Here is a 27,733-nt window from a genome sequence, read left to right on the forward strand (position 1 = left end):
TCTCTCAGAAGAGATGCCAAGTGTAGATGTCCTTTCTGGAACATCCGTGCATAATTAGGCTGCCCCCAACTCCTCACCACATACATGCAACATTTTCCTGCTGTTGAGTAATCATTTGTGCTTGGCTAGTTTTCTGTCTCCTCAAACATCATCTCAGGGCAAAAAGGCACAGCGTGTAGAATATGCTTCTTATAGCAGAGTTAACCAGGGCTTCCTCATCTCATTACTAGAATCTCCTGCACCAGATTCCACACTGTCTCTCTTCTCACTTCATATCTTGTTCATATGATTGTTCATATCTTTCTACCACTAGATAATGATGTTTAGAAGACAGATCTAGGTTACAGTATCTCGTATTTTATAATTATTCTATGAATTAAAACTCATAAAGTTAGAAACCCTTGACATGCCATTCAAGAATTTAAATTCTGATTGGAACCTAACTTTTCTAGCCTGGTAGTGGAAAAATGAAAGATGATAAATCATGGGTTCTAATCCTGACTTTTCCTACTTGCTTACTTTCTGTTACTGGGTACTTGGTTAAGTTTAAAGAACTGTGTAGGCATGTGACATACATTAGTTCATCGTAACAATTGGGTGAAGCAGGTGCTCTTATCTTTATTGCTTACATTAAACTCAGAAAGGTACAGAAACTTATCTGTGAGCACGTGGACTTGCTTCATTTGAATTCACATCCGTCTGATGCCAATAGCCATGCTATACAGCCTTTCTTTGTGTATGCCTGTGCATCCTTGGTAAGTCTTTATTTTTTTTCCAATGTAAATTGGGGTTGTGGGGAGTGTAGACTAGACCAGTTGTATTCAATATTTTTAGTTCTCCATGTCTCCCATGAAGCACAATTTGAAAATCACTAGAATACCTCTAACATGATGCCTACTCTAACATTCTAATTTTATCTCTTTGTCATTATCATCCCCCTTCCAACCCTTTTCAGCACCATGAATTTCATGTTCCTCCATTTGAACAGTGTCTTCTTCTCAGAATGTGCTGGTCATTTCTGTGCCTCTACTTCTTCCAAATGCTCTGCTCTCTGTGAATCTTTCTCAGTCTCCTCCACCTGAGGAACTGTTCCAAGGCTTTTGCATTTTGCTTACGTCTTTATTGTTGTCAGCCATCCCTGTATTAGAGCTAGCTGGATATTCATCTGGACCCTTCTATAGGTTGATTCATAAATTTTTATGATGGAGACTGATGACTTTCTCATTTTAGTTTTCTGTAGGATCTGTGTTAGTTTCCCATGCTTGCTGTAACAAATTACCACAAACTGGGTGACTTAAAACAACCAGAAGTGTATTCTCTCACAGTTCTGGAGCCCAGAAGTCCAAACTCAACTTCACTGGCCCCACATCAAGACATTGGCAGAGCCGCAGGAGCGTAGGGGATAATCTATTTCTCATCTCTTCTTTCTTCCAGTGGCTTCCGGTATTCTTTGGATTGATACATTATCTCATTCTTCAAGGCCAACATTTTCAAATTTCTCTCTGATGCATATTCACATTGCTTTCTCTTCTATATATGTTCAAATTTGCTTCTTTCTTGCTCTGTTATGAATTAATTGCATTGCATTTAGGACCCACTCAGATACTCCAGAATAATCTTCCCATCTATGGATCCTTAACTTAATTGCATCTGTAAATTACCCCCACCCCAACCTCCTCCACCAAACACACACCATATAAGCTCATGTCCACAGATTCCAGGGATTAGGATGTGCATGGCTTTTGTGAAACATTTTTTTTTTCTTTTGAGACAGGGTCTTGCTCTGTCTCCCAGGCAGGAGTGCAGTGGCACAGTAACAGCTCACTGCAGCCTTGACCTCCTAGGCTCAAGAGATCCTCCTACCTCGGCCTCTTAAGTAGCTGGAACCATAGGCATGTGCCACCACACTCAGCTAATTTGGCTAATTTTTGTATTTTATAGGGTTTCACCATGTTGCTCATGCTGGTCTTAAGCTCCTGAGCTCAAGCAGTCTGCCTGTTCCCAAAGTGCTGGGATGACCAGGCATGAGCCACTGTACCCAACCAGCTTTTGTGGAATATTTTTTAGCCTCTCACAGTGTGCCCAACCTTTGGCTTCCAAAGATTCTTGTCTGTCCCACATGCAAAATACATTTTCCCCATACCAACATACTGCCAAATTTCAGCCTGTTACAGCATCAACTCACATCCAAAATCTTACCTAAGTGTCATCAGCCCCAAAAGTCCCAAACTCAGCATCTAGATCAGGTATGGGTGGTACTATGGATATGATCCACCCCAAGGTAAAGTTTCTGTTCACTTGTTGACCTGTGAAACTAGAAGACGGGTTATCTGCTTCTAAAATTTAATGGCAGAATAAGCATAGAATAACAGTTGTAGGCACTCCTATTCCAAAGGGGAGAAAATGGAAGGAAGAAAAGGTTACCCAGACCCAGGCACCTTCCAAATCCAGTAGGGCAAATTCCATTACATGCAAGGCCTGGGAATAATCCCCTGAGGCTAATTTCACTGCCCTCTGGGCCCATAGCTCTGCCTTCTGGCCTTGCAATTCTGGGCTCTGGTTCCAAAGCTCAGCCCTCACAGTCATCTTTCCTTTTTTCATGAAGGGTAGCACATGTTTGCAACTTTGTAGTTTTATGAGCTTATTTTCTTTCTATGGAATTTTGGGAGTCTAGCAACCTTCTTTCATTTAGTCATGTCCTTGATCCTTTCAGTCTAAGCTGGACATGTTTCTACTGATGTAATATTCTCAAAAACCTGGTGATTCTCCTGTATGTGTCATAGGGATTCATATTATTAGACAAAAGGGTCCTCCACAGAATTTCTTAGATAATCTCATCTTTCTTTCTGACCTATGCTGATATCCATTCATATCCAAGGGTCACATACCCATTCCCTTCAGTTCTAGCAACAGGGTGTTCAGTCATATACTTGGCGTTCTCTCCAGAGGACATTTTGTTAACAGTGGATCTTCTAATTTTAGCATATTTTGCAATTTAAACAAGCTGTTAATTTCTAAATCAAGGGTCTTTTTTTGCGTAACACTTCTTTCCTCAATTAATCTATTTTTGCTCACATTTTACTATAAGCAGAAAGAAGAAACCAGGCTGCACCTTGAGTACTTTGCTTGGAAGTCTCATCAGCTAAATGTCCACATTAATGGCTTAAAAGTTTTGCTTTACACTAACTGTAAAACAATTCAGCTAAGTTTCTGCTTCTGTATAACAAAAATTGCCTTTCTTCTAGTTTCCAACAACATGCTTCTAATTTTTTTCTGAGACCTCACCAGAAGGGCTTCTATGGATTCGCTGGTAAAGACAATCTGGGCTTTTTCTATCATGCACTTACAAGTTCTTTGAGCCTCTACTCATTGTCCAATTCCAAAGCCAGCTGCACATTTTTAAAGTGTATTTCTTCTAGCAATAACTCACTTCCTTGTAGCAAAATCTGCATCAGTCAGGGTTAAACCAGAGACACAGAACTAGTAAGAGACATCAAAAGGGGTGCATTGCAGGGAGTTGGCTCACATGATGATGGGTGCTGGCTAGGCAAGTCTGAAATCTGTAAAGCAGGCCATCAGGAATGGCAGCTGGAGCTTTCTGGCACAGGCTGAAGCTGCTGTCCACAAGTGGGATTTCTTTCCAGAAACCTCAGTTCTGCCTGTAGGGCCTTTCAGCTGATTGGGTGAGACCCACCCAGATTATCCAGGATCATCTCTTTTATTTAAAACCAATTTTATTTTTGAATGTTAATCTCATCTACAAAAATGGCTTCACAGCAATGACGAGATTAGTATTTGATTGACTAACTGGGCATTGCAGCCTAGCCAAGTTAACATGTCAAACTGACCATCACAGGTTAGTAAACACGTCACACAGCCAAGTTAACACAACAAACTGACGATCACAGGTTAGTTTACACGTCACACAGCCAAAACACGTCAAACTGACCATCACAGGTTAGTTAACACGTCACACAGCCAAGTTAACACGTCAAACTGACCATCACAGGTTAGTTAACACGTCACTCAGCCAAGTTAACACGTCACACTGACCATCACAGATTAGTTAACACGTCACTCAGCCAAGTTAACACGTCACACTGACCATCACAGGTTAGTTAACACGTCACACAGCCAAGTTAACACGTCACACTGACCATCACAGGTTAGTTAACACGTCACTCAGCCAAGTTAACACGTCAAACTGACTGTCACCGGTTAGTTAACACGTCACACAGCCAAGTTAACACGTCAAACTGACCGTCACAGGTTAGTTAACATGTCACACAGCCAAGTTAACACGTCACACTGACCGTCACAGGTTAGTTAACACGTCACCCAGCCAAGTTAACACGTCAAACTGACCGTCACAGGTTAGTTAACACGTCACACAGACAAGTTAACACATCACACTGACCGTCACAGGTTAGTTAACAGGTCACCCAGCCAAGTTAACACGTCACACTGACCATCACAGGTTAGTTAACACGTCACACAGCCAGGTTAACACGTCACACTGACCATCACAGGTTAGTTAACACGTCACACAGCCAAGTTAACACGTCAAACTGACGATCACAGGTTAGTTAACACGTCACACAGCCAAAACACATCAAACTGACCATCACAGGTTAGCTAACACGTCACACAGCCAAGTTAACACGTCACACTGACCGTCACAGGTTAGTTTACACGTCACACAGCCAAAACACGTCAAACTGACCATCACAGGTTAGTTAACATGTCACACAGCCAAGTTAACACGTCAAACTGACGATCACAGGTTAGTTAACACGTCACACAGCCAAGTAAGTTAACACGTCAAACTGACCGTCACAGGTTAGTTAACACGTCACACAGCCAAGTTAACACGTCACACAGCCAAGTTAACACGTCAAACTGACCGTCACAGGTTAGTTAACACGTCACACAGCCAAGTTAACACGTCAAACTGACCGTCACAGGTTAGTTAACACGTCACACAGCCAAGTTAACACGTCAAACTGACCATCACAGGTTAGTTAACACGTCACACAGCCAAAACACGTCAAACTGACCATCACAGGTTAGTTAACGTGTCACACAGCCAAGTTAACACGTCAAACTGACGATCACAGGTTAGTTTACACGTCACACAGCCAAAACACGTCAAACTGACCATCACAGGTTAGTTAACACGTCACACAGCCAAGTAAGTTAACACGTCAAACTGACCGTCACAGGTTAGTTAACACGTCACACAGCCAAGTTAACACATCACACAGCCAAGTTAACACGTCAAACTGACCGTCACAGGTTAGTTAACACGTCACACAGCCAAGTTAACACGTCAAACTGACCGTCACAGTTTAGTTAACACGTCACACAGCCAAGTTAACACGTCAAACTGACCATCACAGGTTAGTTAACACATCACACAGCCAAAACACGTCAAACTGACCACCACAGGTTAGTTAACACGTCACACAGCCAAGTTAACACGTCAAACTGACCATCACAGGTTAGTTAACACGTCACACAGCCAAGTTAACACGTCAAACTGACCGTCACAGGTTAGTTAACACGTCACTCACCCAGGTTAACACGTCACACTGACCGTCACAGGTTAGTTAACACGTCACACAGCCAAGTTAACACGTCACACTGACCATCACAGGTTAGTTAACACGTCACTCAGCCAAGTTAACACGTCACACTGACCGTCACAGGTTAGTTAACACGTCACACAGCCAAGTTAACACGTCAAACTGACCGTCACAGGTTAGTTAACACGTCACACAGCCAAGTTAACACGTCACACTGACCATCACAGGTTGGTTAACACGTCACTCAGCCAAGTTAACACGTCACACTGACCGTCACAGGTTAGTTAACACGTCACACAGCCAGGTTAGCACGTCACACTGAGAATCACAGGTTAGTTAACACGTCACACAGTCAAGTTAACACGTCAAACTGACCATCACAGGTTAGTTAACACGTCACACAGCCAAGTTAACACGTCACACTGACCATCACAGGTTAGTTAACACGTCACTCAGCCAAGTTAACACGTCACACTGACCATCACAGGTTAGTTAACACGTCACACAGCCAAGTTAACACGTCACACTGACCATCACAGGTTAGTTAACACGTCACTCAGCCAAGTTAACACGTCACACTGACCATCACAGGTTAGTTAACACGTCACACAGCCAAGTTAACACGTCACACTGACCACCACCGTGCTTGCCTGTATTAAGCCCTTGATGCCTGTGTATCTGTTAAAATGAAAGACTGTGATAGTAGAATGTTCCCTTCCTATCAGTGAGGAGATCATTTGATTCAAATGTGGGAAAAATTAAAGATCATGAAAATACATTAGCCATGATTATAATGGGAGTGTGGGGAAGGGCATGGTAAATATTTAGAATAAGCTAAACTTCTAATGAAATGAGATCTCCTCAGCTGGGGCTGGTGGACCCAGATGAGCTTCAGTGGGTCATGAACCTCCCAGAATTATATGGGGTGTGCGTTTTTGTGTGAAAGAGAGAAAGAACATTTTTTTTTTCTGGAATTAGAGTTCATAGCTTTTATCAGATTCACACAAAAAAGTGCGTTGTATTATAAATGTAACTACCTCATATATATGGTAACCAGGTCATCCATCAGTAGCAATAGGCCTGTATTAGGAGTCCTTGACGGTGGATCTAATAAAATCTTCTGTGCTCGTAACTCACACCTACCTGGATATTCTAGAATCAGCTCTTGGAGAACTCAGAGGTAATACAGATAGTGGTTCTTATAGGGATTGGCTAGGGCAAAATTAGGAGATGCTTGTTGTACCAAAGTCTACTGGTATGTTTCCTACTAATAAATCATGCCTGATGCCCCCAAGTCAATGACTCGATAGAGGAAGTGAGTGATGAGGCAGGCAGCATAACTCTGTGAATGAGCCAACCCCAGCCCTTCCCCTGACTTAAAAAGGGGTTAATGAACACAGATGGCTGCAAACCCCCCAAGCAGCCAGCATACTGTAAAACAATATTAACATCATTGCCTTTTGAATACCATGTCTTGTAAACCCCAGGATATGACAAGCCTCTTTAGAATCTTCTTTGATTGTGTTACTCAGACTCCCGTAGGGAAGTAGGGAGGGGTAGGGGTAGATACCAGAGGAAATGTGTAATTAGGAGTCTCTTAGAACAATAAGGGTTCTCAAACACATATGTGTGCAACTGATTTGTTGCTTTTGGTATTTCTGTTGGTGAGTAATTAACTAACCATGTTTTGGGGGCAGTCTGTGCAAGCTTGGGCAATCTGATAGTTGTGAACCATGGGGAAAGAATAGTTGCCTTTAGCTATATTTTCAGAAAAATACTAAGTGGAGATGTGAATGGAAAGGAAAGAACAGACTTTCTGGAGAGATGCCATTATGGTAATGTCAGAACTTCCTTTCAGTCTCAGATAAATCTTTCTTGTTATCACCCTTATTTTTAGTTTTACTCAAGACAGGAGGCCCAGTTCAGTTGGAGAGTGCCGTGTACACAGATATCCCTGCCACCTCCCCGGGAGAGAGGCACAGGGGCCTCTGCGGGACTCTGGCCCCTTATTTTACGGTTGTGATTCCTCCTCACTGTGGTGCCTGTGTGTGGGGTTTCAGGGAGAGGGGCCTTTTGATTTGACTGCTGAGAGGAATAGGGGTTTTCTCCTGGGAACTCTTCTGAGAGAATAAGCTTTTGACAAACACTCTTTGAAAGTTACTCTATGGCCAGATGCGTGCAGATCCAAAGATGGTGTCATTTGTGAAAAATGAGGCTGGCTTATGAGCTGGGTCCATTTGCACACAGCCTGCAGCCACGGAGTCCCTCAGCTTGGAGATGTGCTAGCTCCTTCTGTCCTGTGGGCTGCTGGGGCTTTGTGTCACTGGCATCAGAAAACAGAATTTGGCAGTTCTCTAGGCTAAGGGTTTCCAAACTAAGTGTCCTCTGTATTAACAACGAGGAGCCAAAATGGGGACTTTTCTATTTGTGAAGGGGATCCAGTGAAAATAAACTGTTTTATTTTGGTGACTTTGAGTATAGGAATTGTCTTCTCTGGACCTCAGTTTATCCAACTAGAAAAATGGGAGCAGAGGTGCCTAGTTATCTTTAGGAATGTTCTGTGACTTAATGAAGCAATATTTATGTAATGATTTGGTGGTGTAAATGTCCCCAGCAGTGCATGATGTTAGTTGTATGTTTGCAAAGTACCTAGCTCCCCTGGTAAAGGTAACCTTTGTAAATGGCAAGCTATGAGTATTGTTAAAAGGACATATGGCTCCACCTTCTTTCCAAAAAAGATCACTGAGGAATATAGGGCCAGTTAAATAGCATAGAAAGAGGTTCAGAGTGTCTTGACCTGGAGCAGTTTTTAAAACCTCAGGCCAAAACTCCACTAGGAAACTCACCAAACTAACCATTATGGTCAATTTCATTTTGAAATAAAGCACCCTAATTCATCTGTCCAGGAGTCCAGGTTCCTGTGTGGCCCAAGGTTGCATTCGGAGGTCAGAGTAAATCCTGTCGCTAAAGAGCCACTCCTTCTAGAAATAGCTTTTTTTAATGTCTGCAATTTCTCAATTCAGTTCTTTGACTCTTTAGTTCTATCCCATTTCTGGCCACAAACCTGTTTGGGGTTTGCTCCACCATAAGTCAACACATGCACATGCTTTCCCATCAGTTCCCAGAATGCAGAGGACACTGTAGGTCTGCTAAGGGGCTTCTTTCAGAACTTCTGGGGTTAACGTGGTTGGAATGTGTGCTAACAGGCTGCTCTCACAGTGGCAGTTCTAATTGGCTGAGGATGAGTCTTGAAATGTCACAGAAAGATTTATCTCTCAGCACAGATTCTCCCTCAACTAATTTTTCAGTAGGCCACCAGATAATGGGTTGTTTGGAAAACAATATGCAGTTCTCAGATGCCTTTCTGTGTTGGAATGAACTTGGTAGGCTATTTGAAGCAAAATGGCTGATGGCAAGGAAACTCTTGACTGACTTACAGGCCATTGGACACTGGGAACACCAGGCCTTGCTTGTGAGGGATTTGGCTGAGTCAGTTTCTCAGGGTCCATCACCATTCTTGTGGGGACTCAGCACACAGGTGGGTGGGGAAACCTGCCTCAGAAGTTTGGCTTATAAAGAAATATGGGGATTGATATCTGGATCCTTTTATATCAGCAGCAAGGATTAATTTTAGAGAAGATATTTCATAAAAAAATGGATTCTTCCCTACTCTCAGTTTCTCAGGAAAAATATATTTGCTTGATTTGAAGGTACCATTGACAGTTAGCTGCTTGTTGATTTAATAACAGCTTTTTTTTTTTAGGATTAAGAGAAATAGAAAAATGGGCACCATGTTCAACATACATACAGATTAGAAGATAAATTTCTATTTCAGAAACATTGCAACACTGTTCGCAACAACCAAGATATGGAAACACTAAATGTCCACTGCTGGATAAATGGATAAAGAAAATGTGGAATTTACATACAGTGGAGAAATTTGTTAAAGAATAGAAACTTACAGCTACACAGTATGGATAAGTTCTGGTGTTGTATACCACTGTAGGATGACTATAAAAATAATACAGTATGTAGTTTCAGATAGTTAGAAGGAGGATATTGAATGTTCCTAATGCAAAGAAATGATAAATGCTTGAGATGATAGATATATGAATTACCCTAATCTGATCACCATAAGTTGTATGTATTGAAAAATCACTATGTTCCCTATAAACATGTACAATTATTAAGTGTCAATTTTTTAAGAGTATATAAAGATGCATACAGGGAATGCTGCAATATGTGACATCATGGATGGACCTTGAGGACATTATGCTGAATGAAATAAACCAGTCAGAAAGGACAAGTACTCCATGATTCCACTGATGTGAGATATCTAAAATAAGCAAATTCATAGAATCAAAGAGTGGAATGATGGTCACCAGGGGCTGGAATGAGAGGGGAATGAGCATGGAGTTTCAGTTACGCAAGATGTGTAAGTTCTGGAAGTCTCCTGTACAACATTGTACCTCTGGTTACCGTATTATACACTGAAAATTTGGTTAAGAGGGTAGAGCTCATGGTAAGTGTTCTTGCTGCTATAAAATAAAATTTTAATCAATACATATTAAAATGTGAAAACATATTTTGTAAAACTAAGGTGCAACAATATTTTTGGTGACTCACCATTAAAAGTCCTACATACATTTGCTCTAGAATCCTATTCCAAGATGGGATTCCAAGTTGATTTTGCATTTCTAAGGTTAGCAAACATTTTGTCTTTTATTGGTTGTTTTATACATATGTATACCTATGTAGCAAGAAAATTTCTGATGATCTCAGGTTCATACACAGCTCTTGTCATTTCCAAACAGCTCTGGATTTTTCGAGCTATTATTAGCCTGGAGAGTATAGATAATTGCAGTCTACACAGAAATCTAAAAATAAACTGTTTATTCATTTTTCTAAAGAATTCTTTTAGCACATAGCCTCTTCCCAGAAAGGTTTACAAGTGCTTAGATTAAAGGATAATTCTTTTCTCTCCCTACCATTCCACTCTAAATTTCTGAAGAAAATGTGAAACAGCCTAAAGGCAGAAAAGGAAGTACAGTAAAGGTCTTAATCTGTCTCTCAGAATTATTGAAAATTGGCTGAAAATCTAATTCTTCTTATGCAATAGGTAACCTTTTTATTGGTGGCATTTACCTGAACTAAGGTAAATGTCGACAGCATTGGTGGGTATGTAATCAATAGCATACTTTCATCATTTATTTTTTTTAAACAACAGATACAATAGTATTGATTACTCCATACATTTCATGCTAAATAGCTGTATTAATCTGACTTAATGAGTATGTGTTGTTGAAATAGCTGTCTTCCAACTGTAACCTGTTTTTAGCAAGAATCCTGCTTGCCAAATACTTCTTTTTTTAATCTATAGCTTCTACTTGATTCTTGTGAACCAGGGGTCAGCAAACTTTTTCTGTCAAGGGACAATTAGTAAATATTGTAGACTCTGTGGACTACACTATTACTGCTGCAACAACTCAACTCAGCCATGCAATAGAATAAGCATGGCATCCCAATAAAAATTCACTTACCAGATCTGCAGGTGGTTGGGACTTGGACCATGGGCTGCATTAGCTGATCCCCATTGTGTTCCAAGGTTGGAGAAAGAAAGCAAAATCAACATCATGATTTGTTGAGGCCAACTATGGAGAAGGCATGGTTTAACAGTGTAGTGGACAAGCTGGGCAAGTTTCCTGCTTTTCTGGAGCTAACATTCTCTTGGAGAGTGGGGAAATTTGAAAATCAAATCTAATAAGTCAGCAAAATAATTTCAGTTGACAATAAGTTCTATGGGAAGAAAAGATGATTTGGTAAAGAACGACTTAAGACTTAAGAGGACATAATTTGTAGGGGGTAATATGGGAGTTTGAACATGCATCCATGTTTTTGAGTCCCACACCAACATTTTTCTAAGGAATCTCTCAACCTCATTTTTTCTATTTATAAAATAATTAATATCAATACTTATTGCATAGGGCTACATTGAAGATCAGATAAGCTTTATGAAGGGTCTTCTGTAAAACAGCAAAGCCAATTACAAATTTATTATATCTTATCAATATTGGTCTTGTCATCATTTTTATTACCCATCTCTTTATTGTGTCTCATGTTTTCTTTGAAGTCTTTTTTTCCAAAACATAACAGAATCTTTAAACGGGATTGTGTGAACTGCAATTCTTTCCCTTCATATTCCCTAGAAGAGGATTTCTCTAAGTCACTGACAAGTTGAAACTGCTTTCTTCACATTAAGCTGACTTGAGAAATCAGTGTTTAATATTCACACTTTACCTTACCCTACTAGAATATCAGTCATTGCCGCCAGCCAACCCTATGGACTTGTTGGTGACACATGCGAAGGCACAGGGTGAGCTGGTCCACACCTTCAGATGAAGAGTGTGAAAAGACTTACAATTTGGTCTTGCATATTGGAAGCCTTAGAAAGACATCTGTTGATAACAGTGATGAGTGACAAACTTAGATAATTAAACCTTCTTGTCTTCAAGTCTTTACTTGATTTAAAATGATGACTGAAATGTCTACTACTGTGTTTCCACTTACTGGAGGAAGATCTCAATAAAAGTTTGGGCCTTGTAAGAAATTCATGCCTACAGAATGGAAAGGGCAAGAGGGAAAATACCAGCAGCTGTCTTTTGCTGAGCCCTTAGAAGCCAGGAACTGGGAAGTGTGTTGGATTCAACTTTTCTTCAACCCCCACTATCTAACCCCCATCACAACCTTCAAAGGAGTAAAATTCTCCTTTTCCACAAGAGGAAGTGGAGACTCAGAGAGACTAAGTGTCTTCTCAAAGCTGTCTGACTGATAAGGGGCAGAGGCAAAATTCAAGCCCAGACCTGCCTGATCCATAGCCAATGGTGTGTTTACCAGACAGTGGTCTCAAAATGTTTTTGATTGCTTATAGCCAACAATAGAAGAACAAAGCATGAAAAATCAAACAAGCAACAAGAACAAACTTTATTTTTTGGTAGAGAAAGGATCTCCCTTTGTTGCCCATGCTGGTCTCAAACTCCTTGCCTCAAGCAATCCTCTTGCCTCAGCCTCTGGAAGGGCTGGGATTACAGTTTTGAACTCCCACACCTATCCAACAAAAAACTTTTGAGTATCACTCATAATATACGTATATTTATTGGCAAGTTAAATCCTTATACCATTATACTAATGTGTATTGAACAAATAATCAAACACTTGAAAAATAGAAATGTATAAAAGGATGCACTACAAATAAATATACATGGAAAAACTCATATTTTCTTGCCCCACACGAGGGGATCATCACTTGCTTCTCAGTGTCTACTTTGAACACCATGACACTAAACCAAATGGACACATCAGGTCTAACAATGTTTGTTCTCCCCAGTAAAGTCAGTTTAATCTCTGTTTAGCCTTGCCTACATAGGCTTAGTTTCTCAAGGATTCCAAATGAGGACTGCTTGGCCTGGTGAGGCTAGTGCAAGCTGCTGGAACTGACACACTCACGGATGTGCGGCTTCGAACCTCAGCAAATTGGTAGCACAGGGTTAGCATATTGCCTAGAGTCGGGCTTAGTTTCCCTCGGTGTGGCTCAGGCTGCTACAGCACACTTAGCACTGGGGTACCTGGGTGAGTGCCACCGGTGACGCTAGCAGTAGGCTCTGGCCATTTCAGAAAATGAACTGCTTCTTCCAGCACACAAATATCTTGCTAATTAGCAATTAGCCGTTAAGGGAGAAGAAATGGAGGGGAACTGGGAGTCTGAAATAATCTCCTAAGAGACATGAAAGAAAGCAGCACTTAAAGTAAGCCAGATAGAAACTGGGAGCTGCTTCATTTGGGCAAGATGTCTCTAGACATTTTTCTAAACGTTTTACATTCAGCAGAGGACCCCAGTGCATTCTGCCAAGTGCTTTTCCCTTTAATTTTTAGATGCATTCAAATTTCAAGGGGAATTTAATCCGTATGTTTCTGGTTCTTTTACACTTAACTCATCAAAATGTTGTTCTTTAAGAGCCGTTGGATCTGTAAGGCTTATGAGCCTTTGTTATAAGCCTTTTCAAAACCTCTTTCCCCTTTTTGAATCAGCAAATGGAATTTTGCCAATTCTGAATGGGATTTCAATAAGGAGAAGTCCAACTTTAGGATTAAATGCAGAACCTCAAGAGCATCCGACCTGATTTTGCAGAGATGCACACTTGACCCTTGCATCCTAGGAGGACCGACAGCATCATGGGGTCGACCCAGTGGCTGGAGCAATGCTTGGTGAGCGCGAGCCCACGGAAGACAAGCAATGTGGTTCAGGGCCTGTGCTTCTGTTACAGAACCAGCAAACCTTAGACTTAGACATTCTCTAGCCCATCCTCCCACCCAATGAGATTTGTGACACATAATAATGAAAATAATGATACTAATCAGTAGCCGACACTCATGGAGGCCACCTATATTTCCAGCTGCTTTTCTACACTCTTTGTATGCAACATCCATCTCTCATAATCCTTATCAGAATGGTGTGAGGTAGATGTGGAGTTAGTAAAACTTAGTGGACACAAGTTTAAGATTTAGAATCAGGCAACCTGGGTTTGAATCCTAGCATCAACACCTATAAACTCTAGCGCCCGAAGAAAGTTCTTTAATGCTTGCCAAAGGGTGCTTTCATTTCCAGTTGCTCCTGTTACCATCGTTGTTAAGGATGATGTTGATGCTATCCTTGTTCCAGTGATGGAAAAAGTCCCTATCTCCTGGTGCAGCCATTTTTATTGGTAACTTGGAGTTTTCCATATTTTCTCTTTATGTGTCAAAATCTCCTGTTTTACAAAGTATGCCCATTTTTTCTAAAATAGAGTTAGGCTAACTCCTCTTTTGCATGGCAGACCTTCACATTCTTGATGACAATTGTGAACGTAACCTGGTTGCATGTTCCTGACACTAAAAGTGTACACAATGTTCTGGATGGGGTCTGTCCAGTATGAAGTAGGACCTTGCTCTCTTTTGTTTTGTATTTTATACTATTAATATGATTGCATAATCCATTAACTTTTGGGAAGCCACATCACACCTTTTTGTTCATCTGGAGTTAATATCACCTAATATAAGTTTTCCTTTGCTTGAACTGTTCATAGGGCAGTGTTCCATCTCTTGTAATTCTGTAGTTGATTTTTTAAATTTCGAAATATGACATTTTCTCATGGGCTCTAATTTAATAAAAAACAAATATGGATTTGGTGGAGAAAAATATACATGGTACAGGGTTTTGATGTTAAGTGTGGGTATGATAAATGTGAAGAGTTTCTGCATTCCAGTTCCTATATTAAATTCATAGCCCCCAAATTTTAAACTTTCAGAGCCTCATCCTGAAGAGTCATTATGAAACTCAGGTAAGTTTTATCATGAAAGAATGCTGAAAAAAAAAATCAATGCCCCCTGGCCCTCCCATTGAGTAAGCAACTGAAAGTGAGCTTACAGCCTGTGTAGGACATCTTTTAATTTGCCAAGTGACTAAATGTGCAGTCACTGCAGCAGGCATCCACCAGCTGTGCCCACATGGCCCACTCAGCTGGGCTGCTTTTCAAAGAGCAGACAGGGCTTATCTTAGTACCAAAACTCCATGCCAAAAAGATCATCACTGGGTTTGAGCATTTGCACAAAATCCCCAGCAGCCACGGGTAGACAGCTTTGCTTGACAAAGGCAGCTTCATTCTCCAGACTAATGGGCAACTTTGGCTACTACTGGGCACCATGATAAAATGGCTGGGCATAGAGACTGTCAGCCCTACTGGTGATTCTAGCCATTTGGCCATTTACCTTTTACCTACATTTCATCTCTGTATTCCCTTGGGCTCTGGGAAGCCCTTTAAGCTTCAATGACCTGTTCTGTATGAGTGCTGGACAGTCCCTGCAGGTTCTTACTTAACCTGAGAGCTTGTTAAATGCATCTCCATGGAATATCTTCTATTGTTAATAGTTGCTGGTTTGGATTTTAATCTAAAAAAAACTGTGAAATGTGCTTGTTTCATATGATGCTTTTCTGAGAGGTTGCATGGAGATCTAATAGTTGGGTAGCTGATGGCAAGTGGGAATGAAGGTAATTGATTAAGCAGCAGCACCTGTGTTCCTGATATGTACCCAGTCCAGTGCTAGATACAGTAAAAATGTAAAAGTTTAGGGCAAGGTCCCATCCTCTACCCAGTTTTGAGGACTACATAACATAGTTGAAGGGAGAAGTTTCATGTAAAGGAAGTAAGATAAGTATATAAAAGAATAAGCACATAGATGCTAAGGGATTTGGCACAGGCTGTAAATGCTGTAGTCCCTCAAATGAGGAAGAGTTCACTGTCACTGAGAATATCCTGGAAGGTAAGACTTCATCTGGGCCTTGGAGCTGCATAGGAATTAGACTGGTGCAGGAAATGGTGAGACTTGGAAATGAGAATGGATAATTAGAAATTTGTCATGTGGAAATCAAACACACATGCATACCTATGTATACATATTACACTACAGAAACAATAACCCAATACTACTTCATTTTCCTTTAATTCCCTAATAACTAAACAGTACCTGATTGTGGGTTCCAGTAGTGATGTACATTGACATCTTGTAGTAAGACCTTTTTTCCTATCCTAAGAGGATGGACAATACATCTTCAAAAGCCAGAGTGGTTGGCCAGGCACGGTGGCTCGCGCCTGTAATCCCAGCACTTTGGGAGGCTGAGGTGGGTGGATCACAAGGTCAGGAGATCGAGACCATCCTGGCTAACACGGTGAAACCCCGTCTCTACTAAAAATACAAAAAATTAGCCGGACGTGGTGGCGGGCACCTGTAGTCCCAGCTACTTGGGAGGCCGAGGCAGGAGAATGGCGTGAACCCGGGAGGTGGAGCTTGCAGTGAGCCGAGATTGCACTCCAGCCTGGGCGATAGAGCGAGACTCCATCTAAAAAAAAAAAAAAAAGATAGAAGCCAGACTGGCTCTTTAAATCTACTAACACTTGTATGAAGTAATAGCTTTCAAAGTAGTATGTGAACCAGCTACTTGGAGGGTTGTGGCAGGAGGATCACTTGAGCCTAGGAGTTCAAATCTAGCCTGGGCAATATAGCAAGACTAAATATATATATACATATATTCACGCCACACACACACACATATTCATATATATATATTTATATATATATATATAGTGATTAAAATAATGCAATTGCTGGCACAGAGAATATGAAAAGCAACTATATTATGAGAGGACTTCAAAAATTCATGGAAAAATGGAATTAAAAGATAAAAAAAAAAACCCTTCATTTCTCAAAAAAAGCTTCATCAAGGTTAAAACACTTTTGTAGGTGGTGATCCTAGCCATTTAGTCCATCCCTAAAGAATTGATGGTCCTGGGAATGATGCAGAATTTTCCCCCCTTTGTTCAGCTAAATCCAGTTCTTGTTTCATGACCAGGAAAAATTAGGCACACGGACACATTGAAAGGTGAGGAGGGTGGAATTTATTAAGTGAAAGGAAAGCTCTCAACAAAAAGAGAGATCCTGCATTCAGGTTTCCCCCTCACAAATTGAATACCAAGCCACCATTCATGAGTTGAAGAGGCAAGGCTCCTCCCAGCATAAGGCATGAATTCCTGGTGGCTCCACTCCATTCCCCCGGTATGCATGCAGGTCCTTAGTCTTCTAAAAAATCAATGCGTACTCCATATTGATTTATTTTCCTTACTGGGCATGTGTTAAGGGACAGAATTTTCCATCATGGGCATGATTAGGCAAGCCCCCTCTGCACAATGACTTGGGCAGGTCAGAGGTTCTCTGGAGACTCCTCCCTATTTGCCTAGGCATTTGGCTGTCTCCTCCCTCTATGATTCCCCCATGTAAAGAAGTACATATAACTGCTGTTAGAATAAGGACAAGGATGAAGACTGATCTTAACTGATCCTGCTGACAGGGGGCACTGTTTGGGGAAAATGGCAGTCAGAGGCCTAAGGGTCCCTGGTAAAATGGGGCCATTGTTCAAGGCTCTGGTTGCATGACCGTTTGGAGTTTGATAGCCTGAAGCCAAGAAAGGACAAACCGGGTTATTAGAAGACATGTACCAAAATGAAACAAAAGCGAGGGTAAGGACGGCTCAAAAATTCTGAGGCTGCTGGCAGGCTCAGATAACCGGTGGCTATAGTTATTTCTGCTAAGATTTGGGTGCATGGCCCTTGGTTTGTGGTTAGCTCCCTTGGTCTTGATTTTCCCAAAAAAGAAACCTCCAGGTTATGGGCACTCTATTACTCCCATCACCTGGCAGGATTTGCAGGATAATTGCCCAGAACTGGAATATTGATTCAGATTTTTATATTACCCATCCCTTTTTGTTTCTTCTGAGTTGCAGCCAGACATCACTGTTTACTTCAGAGGAATGAGCAGGATTAGTTTAAAATGTAGATGAAAAACTTAATGAATGAGTCTAGAATTTAATGACAAATCTATGATTAGCTTTGAAACAGAATTTCTCTCTCCAGTCCTTATTTTTGTTAAAAACAAATAGTGATAGGACTGAGTTGTTTGCAAAATAAACTTTAGTTTTATACTTGGCCTGATTATTTGCATAAAGTGCAGCAAGAATAATTATTTTTACATAGGCTTTTAAAATTGGCTTTGAGGGAAGTTTGTTCCACAAGGAATCTCAGATAGGACTTTTTAAAGCTGAGCCTAGCCATGGGTTTCTATCCTCAAATATACCTATGAGTTGGGTGAATTCCTCTCTTCTTGAAGTCACAAGAATATGGAGTTCCTGGGCCTGTGAGAAAGTGACATTCTTTACTCACCACAGGTGAGGAACCCTGTAAGGGGACTGTGTAGACAAGGTATGAGGCCAATATCCCCAGGGGGCTTTTATTGGCTCTGCAAGTTGAGCTTGATTCCTTAAATGGAAGCATACCCTTACAGTCAAACCCTTAGCAAAAGAACCAGTGTCTCCAATTGCATCCTCTTGCAAAAGAAAATGGATTCTTATTGCACTGATGCAAATAACCATATTGCCATAAGATAAGAATACTCACAGATAGTTTTCAAACTCTAGAGGATCCAGGCAGAGAGAAACAAATGTGCTCCAAATTTTTTCACAGGAGTCTACCTTACTCAATTATTAAAGACTTTAAATAGTTCAAAATAAAAGTGCCCTTGACTCAGAAAAAAAAAATTAGCAATATTTTAAGCAAAAGTTAAAAAAAAAGATTACTTCAGTTTTCTATTACTTCAGTCTATTCAGATAACTCTTGTTCTGCTTGATATTCGTGAAATTTTCAGCTCTTCATAAGTCCTGTATGTTTTTCCTTTATTCCGATGTCACAATTTTCAAAATTATCAGAAAACTGCATTTGACAGCACCTGTCAAATTCATGTAGCTGATTATAAACCATCTTTTGAAGGGGATAAAAACAAGACAACAATTGTCTATGAATAAGAATATGTACAGGGTCGCTACAATCAAAAACATGATTGACAAAGAAATTTGGTTATCTTTGTGGTTTATAATACTTAACACCCTTAATTATGATTGATAGCATATACTCAGACATTAGGATTTTAGAAATCTCATACAATTTTGTGACATATACTAATATTATTTACTAAAATATAACCTGAAGAAGATTAAACACATTTTGTTAATTCTATGTACCTAAACATGTCAGATAATCCTGTTCATCTCTCATCTGGATGCCTCAGGGACCCTCCATGGCATCCAAAAGAGAGAGTTCAAGAAAGACAACCTTGAAGCTGAAATTTGATTTTGGGAAGCCTGTTAAATATGGTAGAGGTTTAAAACACTTGATGTTGTGAACTAGAATTTCAGATTACCATAAGTTATTTATTTTGCCAAAGTGATAACTTGAAAATTATTTTAGAAAGACAAAAACCTTTACTCATTAAGAGGAAATACTTAGCTTTCCAAAAAATGTCTCCTGTCTTTCTTTCTTTTCCTTGGTAGTCTATGCATGAGGCAAACAAAAATATTTCATTATCTTTTACTATTACATGAAAATCTTGTACCAGGGAGAGAAAGCCAAATTTTACCCTTGCATTAGTTTACTATTGATGTCAACCCCAATTTATTAAATGAAACCTTATAGAAAATTCTATGCAATCTTAACCAGCTTGACCATGAGCTGAGATTCTTGTAAATCTTTTATAACCCTTTACAAATTTTGCTAATGAGTGGATTAGTGCCTTAAGAAAACCTTTGTGCTTTTATTTCAATGCTCAATTTACAGAGTTTAGTCAATGTTCACACACAGAATTTTGTTTGCAAGATTAATTTTTAGAAACCTTCTATAACTTGTTTAAACCTTTGTCTTTATCTTATCTAATTTAAAGCAATATTTTATCCCAAGGCAAAAATGTACATTTTCATGCCTTCTTATAATCTTTTACTAAAGACACATTTTACTGTTCTTATACACCTTGCATGTAAATGTATTTTCAGTGGTCTCAATTACATGTTATAATGGTACTTCTTAGCAATTTTTAACTTTAACATAAAATCTGGTAGATTGTTTTAATTATGCAGTAGGTGCCAATAAAGTTTTACTCCTTCTTGCATGGTGAAGGGTGTGGTTAATTCCATATATCCCCAGGCCTTAACAATTGTGAAGCAGGCAAGTGGAGCAGTTCTCAACAGCTAAAGAAGCAGTTTATAACCTTAAAACATTTAGCAAACCTAGTATCTGACCCGTATAATTTAGACCACCTATTTACATTTTAACAACATTTGCATTTTACCAGTAATCTTTAAGACTGTTTTTATTTCTCAAAGATTAAAGTCACATGAACTAAAAGGCGTTAAAGCTTTTATTTTTCCTTCAAAAGTATTTCAGTTAAGCACTTATTTTTCTTTAGACCAATTAATTAGAGCTCTTTTTTATAGATATCATGCACATCACATATATAACTACACAGACAGAAGAAGATTCAGTTGTTACAAGATATTTCATTTGCAAATCTCCTAATTGGATTATTGGTCTCTGGGTGGTGCCCTTTAAGAGCAGGGTTAGGAAAGCATGCTGTTTGTAGGCCCTGATAAACAGACACAGCTGGAAGACAAAACATATTTTGAGAGGGATTTATCTGCCTCTATTTTCTGGGGGTTCCAAGAGGAAAGCAGAGGTCTCTTTCAAAATGGAATCCACGGTGCCTTTTCTGTTTTTCCCAAGGAGTCTCAGAGCATCAGAAGTTATCTTAGGGCCTTTCATACATGCATTAAGAGTGGCAAGACAAGGCAGGGCACGGTGGCTCACGCCTGTAATCCCAGCACTTTGGGAGGCCGAGGTGGGTGGATCACGAGGTCAGGAGATCAAGACCATCCTGGCTAATATGGTGAAAACCCGTCTCTACTAAAAATACAAAAAATTAGCTGGGCATGGTGGTGGGCGCCTGTAGTCCCAGCCACTTGGGAGGCTGAGGCAGGAAAATGACATGAACCCAGGAGGCGGAGCTTGCAGTGAGCCGAGATCATGCCACTGCACTCCAGCTTGGATGACAGAGCAAGACTCCATGTCAAAAAAAAAAAAAAAAAATAGTGGCAAGACAAGGTGGAGAAAGGTAATTCAGTCGATTGAGGAAAAAAAAACTTTTCTCCAGCAAAACAAGATCCAAGAAGAGAAAAACATAAAGGCCTTTTAAATATACCTATAACTTGGATACCCCCTTTTAATTAAGCTGAGTGCTGTTTAAGAAAGTCCTTTTAAGTCCCTTATTACCCGATGTTAGCCACACCATGTGTCCAATGTTTCTGGCTTTTGAACTTTACCAAACGTGACCTCACAGGTGAAACCAACAAGCCTCAATTAAGACGCTAAAAGCACACCAGATTAGCTACAGCTTAAGCCCAGTCTCGTATATTCTTTTTCATTAATCAAAACTTTACAGTAAATATAAACAGTGATCCTTATCATTCCTTTTACTGGTTTGCACAGGGAGAGAGGGGCCAAAAGTCCAACAGGTAAAAAATATTTTACCCTTTTGTCAGTGTGTCAGGCTTCTGGGTTCTCTTCCCCTGAGCTCAATTCTAAGCCAACCAGTGTCAGGTTTTGGAAATTAACTTTTCTCAGTCTGGAGGATGCATCTGAGGGGAGTGTCCTATAGTACAGGGACACAGTTACCCATCTGTAAAGAGGGGACAGAGGAGTAAAAAAGAAGGCTTTCTTCTTCCAAAGGAGCCTCAGAGGTTCAGGATGCATTCAAAAGGAAAGCAGACTGAAGATGAATGGCTGCTCACCTAGAAAGAGGGGAGCCCTGCATCCCTGGTTCCTTTCTCTTCCTAGGGAATACCCAGGATATGTGAGGGAGAAAAGAAAAAAACGTCCTTTTTCCTTCTTCTGTCCTTATATTCCCAAGTCCCAGTGACCTTGATAGGGTGCCACCCATGGTTGTCAGTGTGGCTTTCACCCATGCTAAGGGGAGGCCTAGAGGGTAGGATTATCCACTTTTGCCCACGTACTGCCTTTCCCTCTGCTGTCAGTAGCCTTTGAGTTTCCTAGACCTCATTTATGCCATGGATACTAGCATGACCTTTATCCATGAAACAGGAGGCTTGGCTTAATCAGCAAGAATTAGTCATGCTCACCTACATTGTGCCTTTTAACTACTGTTGTCATCTCCCTCTGGATCCCTCATATCCAGTTTTCTTTCCTAGGGGTTGAACCCAAGGCTTGGAATTGAGTTTGGGACAAAGGAACTGCCTCAAGGAGGTGCCTGGTCTCATCAATCCCCCAGTGACCCACACCAGACTGGCTGCTACCTCCTTATCATAAGCCCAGTGCTAAGGTATAACTGTGGAATAGGGTCCTTCTCAAACAAGGAAGGGGAAAAGGGTGTCCTGTGAATTGTGGTCCTGGTCTAATAAGATGCTTTTCAAGAAAGAAAAACCTCTCACATAAAAGTTAACTCCCGACAGGGTGGAGCAAAGGGAAAAAAAAAAGCTTAAGTGCTGGGCCAAGAAGACCTGGGGGAAGAACCTTTTGTTCCTTTGCAAATGGGTTTCTCCAACAGGGAGAGAAACTTTTGATTGCTGTCAGATCAAGTTGGATTAATTGACCAGGGGAAGAGAAGACTCTGTGGATGTGGATGCATAGTGGGAAATGCTGGCCAGCCGGCTGCACAGGGCCCAGGTCCCTGAGGCCCCCTTGGGTCCCCGGCATTGGCTGTGGCTCATTCCCATCCTGCATGGCCATTGGATGCCACATAGACATGCAGTGGACACAGCCATGCACCCCAGCCAAGAGGGAAGTGGGGCAGGGAGCCACCACTCACCCGTATATCCCACATGCACACCTGTGGCCATTGGGATGGTGGTGGAACACCCCCAATATTGTAAAAGAAAAGATAAATGCTGTTACAGTACCAATAAAAGGAAGGAAAATACCATAGAAAATACAGGGTTGGATTGAGGCCAACATTCCCGACCCCTGAGAGTGAGTGGGGTGGGGGACGTGGGGCAGCTTCCCCTGCTCTCAGAAAAAGTCTGAGGATGAGAAAGCTCAGAAATGAAAGGGAAAGATATTTTTGGGTTCACATTTTACTTACCCTTCCTCATGTCCCCATACTGGCCACCAAAATGATGCAGGATTTTTTCTCCTTAGTTCAGCTGAATCCCGGTTCTTATCTCACAACCAGGAAAAATTAGGTACATGGACACACTGAAAGGTGAGGAGGGCAGAATTTTTATTAAGTGAAAAGAAAGCTGTCAACAAAAAAAGGGGTCCTGCATGCAGGTTTCCCCCTCACACACTGAATACCAGGCCACCACATACGAGTGGAAGAAGCCACGCTCTTCCCCAGCATAAGGCACACATTCCTGGTGGCTCTACCCAATTCCTCCAGTGCGCATGTGGGCCCTTGGTCTGAGCCAGTCCACATTGATTTATTTCCTTTACAGGGCATGTGCTAAGGGATAGAATTTTTCACCATGGGCATGTTTAGGCAAGCCCCCTATGCACAATGACTTGTGTGGGTCAGAGGTTCTCTGAGGACACTTCCCTATTTGCCTAGGCATTTGGCTGTCTCCTGCCTCTATCAGGAATTTAACTCTGTCAATGCAGTCTTTTTTGCATTATTAACTGAAGAAAAATGGGTCCCCTTTAAAGATTTTTTTTTTTTAAGATTTGGAAACAAAAAGAAGCCAGAAACAGCCAAATCAAGACTGTAAGAGGAATGCCTAATGATTTCCCATTGAAACTCTTACAAAATTGCCCTTGTTTGATGAGAGGAATGAGCAGGAGTGTTGTAGCAGTAGAGAAAGACTTTCTGGTGAAGCTTTCCCAGGTGCTTTTCTGCTAAAGTTTTGACTTTCTCAAAACACTCTCATAGTAAGCAGATGAAATCATTGTTTTGTCCTCCAGAAATTCAACAAGCAGGGTGCTCTGAGGATCCCAAGAAACTGTTACCATGAGCCTTGCTCTTGACTGGTGCACTTTGGCTTTCACTGGAGCACCTCCACTTTGTCTTGGTAGCCATTGCTTTGATTGTGCCTTGTTTTTGGAATCATACTGGCAAAGCCTTGTTTCAATTCTTCAAAAAAATGCTTCAGGATCTTGCTCCCACTTGTTCAAAACTTCCATTGAAAGCTCTGCTTTTGTCTGTAGCTTATGTGGGTGCTAGAGGTTTGGCACCCATTGAGGGGAAAGCTTGCTCAATATTAATGTTTTAAGTCAGAATTTGGTAAGCTGAACTAATTGAGAAGACTATGGCATTTGCTATTGTTTCTGCTGTTAATCATCAGTCTCTTCAATTAGGACACAAAAAAGATGAATTTTTTCATAACAAATTGATGTGAATATCCTGCCCTGGGCTTCGTCTTCAACATTGTCTCCTCTTTTCTTAAATTCAGTTATTCATTTGTAAACTACTGATTTCTTTAGGGCATTGTTCTCATAAACTTTTTGTAAAGCGTCAGTGATTTCACCATTTTCCACCCAAGCTTCAACATAAATTTGATGTTTGTTCTTGCTTCTATTTTACCAGAATTTGTGTTGCTCTGTTAAAGGCTTTTTTCAAAATGTCTTATTGTTCTTAGTGCCTCAAACTAGATCCTGTTCAGAAGTTTTATAACCAGTTAGTATGAGTTTATTTTGATGCAAAAAAATTAAAATTCAAGGTTTTTTTTATAATAAGTATTTTCTATGATCATTTTAAATACTTCTTGTATTTACACTTCATGGAGCCCTTAGTGTATGCTAATCACTCTTCCAGATGCTTTGTATATATTGTTTCATGTCATCCTCACAATATCCTTGGAGGGTAGGTATTATTATCCCCATTCACAGACAAGAAAATGACTTACAGAAAGATTGAGTAACTTGCCTAAGGAAAGACAGTTAAAAAGTGACGGAATGAGACTATAAACCAGGTATTCTGACTCTAGCAGAAGGTGAGCACTTAAACCATGGGCTATATGTAGGAAAATAATCTAAATCTGCCTGGCAATTAAGCACTTGCAAGTCACCTTCTTATACCTTGTCTCCTTGGCCCTTCACACCTTCCCTATGGCAGAGAGCGTGTTAGGCCCACGAAAAAGCTGGGACACAGAGAAAGTTTCTCTTAGGTTTTATAATCTCCCTTTCTGCTCAGACCTCCTGTACCCAGGGTATGAGTCTTCCAGTGCCCCACCCTCTCAGTGTTACCTTCCCATGCCCAGTAACTTCATCTGCCCTCCGTTTTAGGGTGCCATCTATGGTTACCCTCTGAACTTTGTGATCGTGCCCGCTGTCTCTAGCTCTTCAGTCACTGAATCAGAAAATTTAGTGAAATTCAGTCACTAAATCCTTCCCAGCTTGAGTTATTTCTCTTCTTTGACCTCACTGGAACCTAAAGCTCCTTGAATGCCCTACTTTTCCTCAATCCCTTAGCTACACCCTTTCTTCACTTTCTTCCCCTTCTTCCCCATCCAGCCTAGATGTGGCAATGCATGGCTTCATCTATCACTGTCAGACTCTTCAACCTCCTTACCCCACTGTCCTCCTATCACATTCTCCTGGAAAAACTCCACTCCAGAAAAAATTCACATCTTAAGAGTTTACACTTGCTGCTGTTGGGGAAAATCATATATTTCTATACAGTGGTGCTTTCACAAATTCATGATCTCTCACCTCACCCAGACCTACCAAAAAAAGTGACAGTCCTCTGTCCCTGTTTTTCTATTCCTCCCATTCTCTATAGCGGCTATTTCCAATTTTCTCCATTCCACACAAGCCTTTACTGTGTCTTTCTTACTCAAGAGGATTATTGGCATTTTTCCTTTGGCAAACTCTTTCTAGGTTTCAGCTCAAAAATTATTTTCTCTTCTGGACATGGTGAGAAACCCTAGCTTATAATCCTAGCACTTTCGGAGGTTGAAGTAGGAAGATTGCTTGAGCCTAGGAGCTCGAAACCAGCCTGATCAACATGGCAAAACCCTGTCCCTACTAAAAATACATACACACATACAAAAAAACAAATTAGCTGGGCATAGTGGCACATGACTGTAATCCCAGCTACTTGGGAGGCTTAGGCAGGAGAATCATTTGAACCAGGGAGGTGGAGGTTGCAGTGAGCCAAGATCGTGCCACCACACTCCAGACTGGGTGACAGTGGGACTCTGTCTCAAAAAAAAATAATAAATTAATAAAATAATAAATTATCTTTTCATAGTTGACTATATTTCTCAATTTTAACACATACCACATATTTATTTTATTGAGACAAGGTCTCACTCTGTCACCCAGGCTGGAGTGCAGTGTGGTGATCATGGCTCACTGCAGCCTCGACCTCCCTGCCTCAAGCAATCCTCCCACCTCAGCCTCCCGAGTAGCTGGGGCAACAGACCTACACCACACACCTGACTATTTTTTAAATTTGCTTGTATACTTGGTGGTCTGCTTACATTACCCAGGCTGATCTTGAACTCCTGGGCTCAAGCAGTCCTCCTGCCTCAGCCTCTCAAAGTTCTGGGATTACAGCCGTGAGCCACCATGCCCAGTCCCACGTGTTTTTATTACCTGTTTAACTTTACCATTATCAGTAAGTTTCCTGAGGTCAGACAACATGTATTGTACCTCCAGCAACTACACATTTTAGTAGATGCCCAATAAATATTTGTTGAGAAAACAGATGAATAAATAAATTAATGAATGAAGAAAACATAAGTATACCATCATACGAGAGCTCTCATAACTTTTTGCCACCAAAGCTGTGAGTCCCGCTTCCCTTCCACCTTCAATCCTCTTAAAGAAAAGCTATTCCACCCAAAGCTAGATCTTCTAGCAATGCTATGGACTTTGTTCACACCTATCTTCTCAGTAACGCCATTTGATAATTTTTCTTGTCTTTCCTATGCCTTCAGTCTCTCACTTTCTATTTCCCTTCAGCAATGGAACGTGATCAAATCTATTTCATATTTAAAATCATTGATTTCTTGTCCAAATTCTGTTCTGTCTCTTCCCTGTGATAGCCACAAAGAATTCCTAGGCATTATTTATACTTGTTGTCGCTTCTTTTTCATTCTGCATTTAGTCCTTCCTCAGAGTGCCTGGCCTCTGTCCTGCCACTCCACTGAAAATGGGAGATCTCACCAAGATGACCACTGGCTCTGCTCTTGTTCTTTCCAAGGGGGAACTTTGCACTTGACCCACCTGACCTCCTCAAGTCACTCAGCACCTATCTCCTTGCTTCTGCAAACCTTAGTTCCCGGATTCTCTGGGCCTATCTCCCTGTCTTTCATGGTGTTCTTTGGGATTCTACTTCCTCTGACAGTAACAGCAGTATTGGTGTCCCCCAGGCGTTGCTTGTTGAGTCCATCATGCTCCAAGGTTCCAGTGCCAGCTATATGCTGATGACTCCCTCATCGATGGCTCCAGCTTAGTCTCTCCCAACCCTCAGTCATTGTTTTCTTGATGTTTCCATGTAAAGATCTACAGACCTCTCAAATTCAGTGGGCCTAAACTGACAGTATGATCTTTTCCTCAAGCTCAGTTTCCATATAGTAGTGGTCCCTTGCCAAGAGGATAAAACCAGAGACCTTGGTATCACCCCAAGTCCTCCATTTTGACTTCCCAAATCTGTCTGAAAACTAAACATTTCTTTCCATCCCCATCACTCCTTGGATAACTCAAGCTGCCTGATCTCTCATTGGGATTATT

The 27,733-nt window shown here is 40.9% G+C and overlaps 1 protein-coding gene and 1 long non-coding RNA gene across 42 annotated transcripts in view, besides 1 other annotated feature; both read left to right on the top strand.

Annotated features, from left to right (window-relative positions):
* The window catches only part of NTM (neurotrimin), a 966,208-nt gene that overhangs the window by 694,591 nt on the left and 243,884 nt on the right, over positions 1-27,733 (top strand). The window lies entirely within an intron of this gene.
* LOC124902795 (uncharacterized) lies at positions 1,976-10,150 on the top strand. Its single transcript, XR_007062958.1, has 2 exons — positions 1,976-5,760; positions 5,969-10,150. It is a non-coding gene; the product is annotated as an uncharacterized LOC124902795 (long non-coding RNA).
* Positions 22,914-24,113: an enhancer, noted in NCBI's record as "MED14-independent group 3 enhancer chr11:131958013-131959212 (GRCh37/hg19 assembly coordinates)". NCBI's record gives its function as "activates an origin of replication core promoter dependent on BRD2, BRD4, P300/CBP and CDK7 cofactors, and independent of MED14, by STARR-seq in HCT116 cells {active_cell/tissue: HCT116}" and the evidence as "EXISTENCE:reporter gene assay evidence [ECO:0000049][PMID:35650434]".

This window comes from Homo sapiens, chromosome 11 (genome assembly GCF_000001405.40).
Source record: "Homo sapiens chromosome 11, GRCh38.p14 Primary Assembly".
NCBI classification, from domain to species: domain Eukaryota; kingdom Metazoa; phylum Chordata; class Mammalia; order Primates; family Hominidae; genus Homo; species Homo sapiens.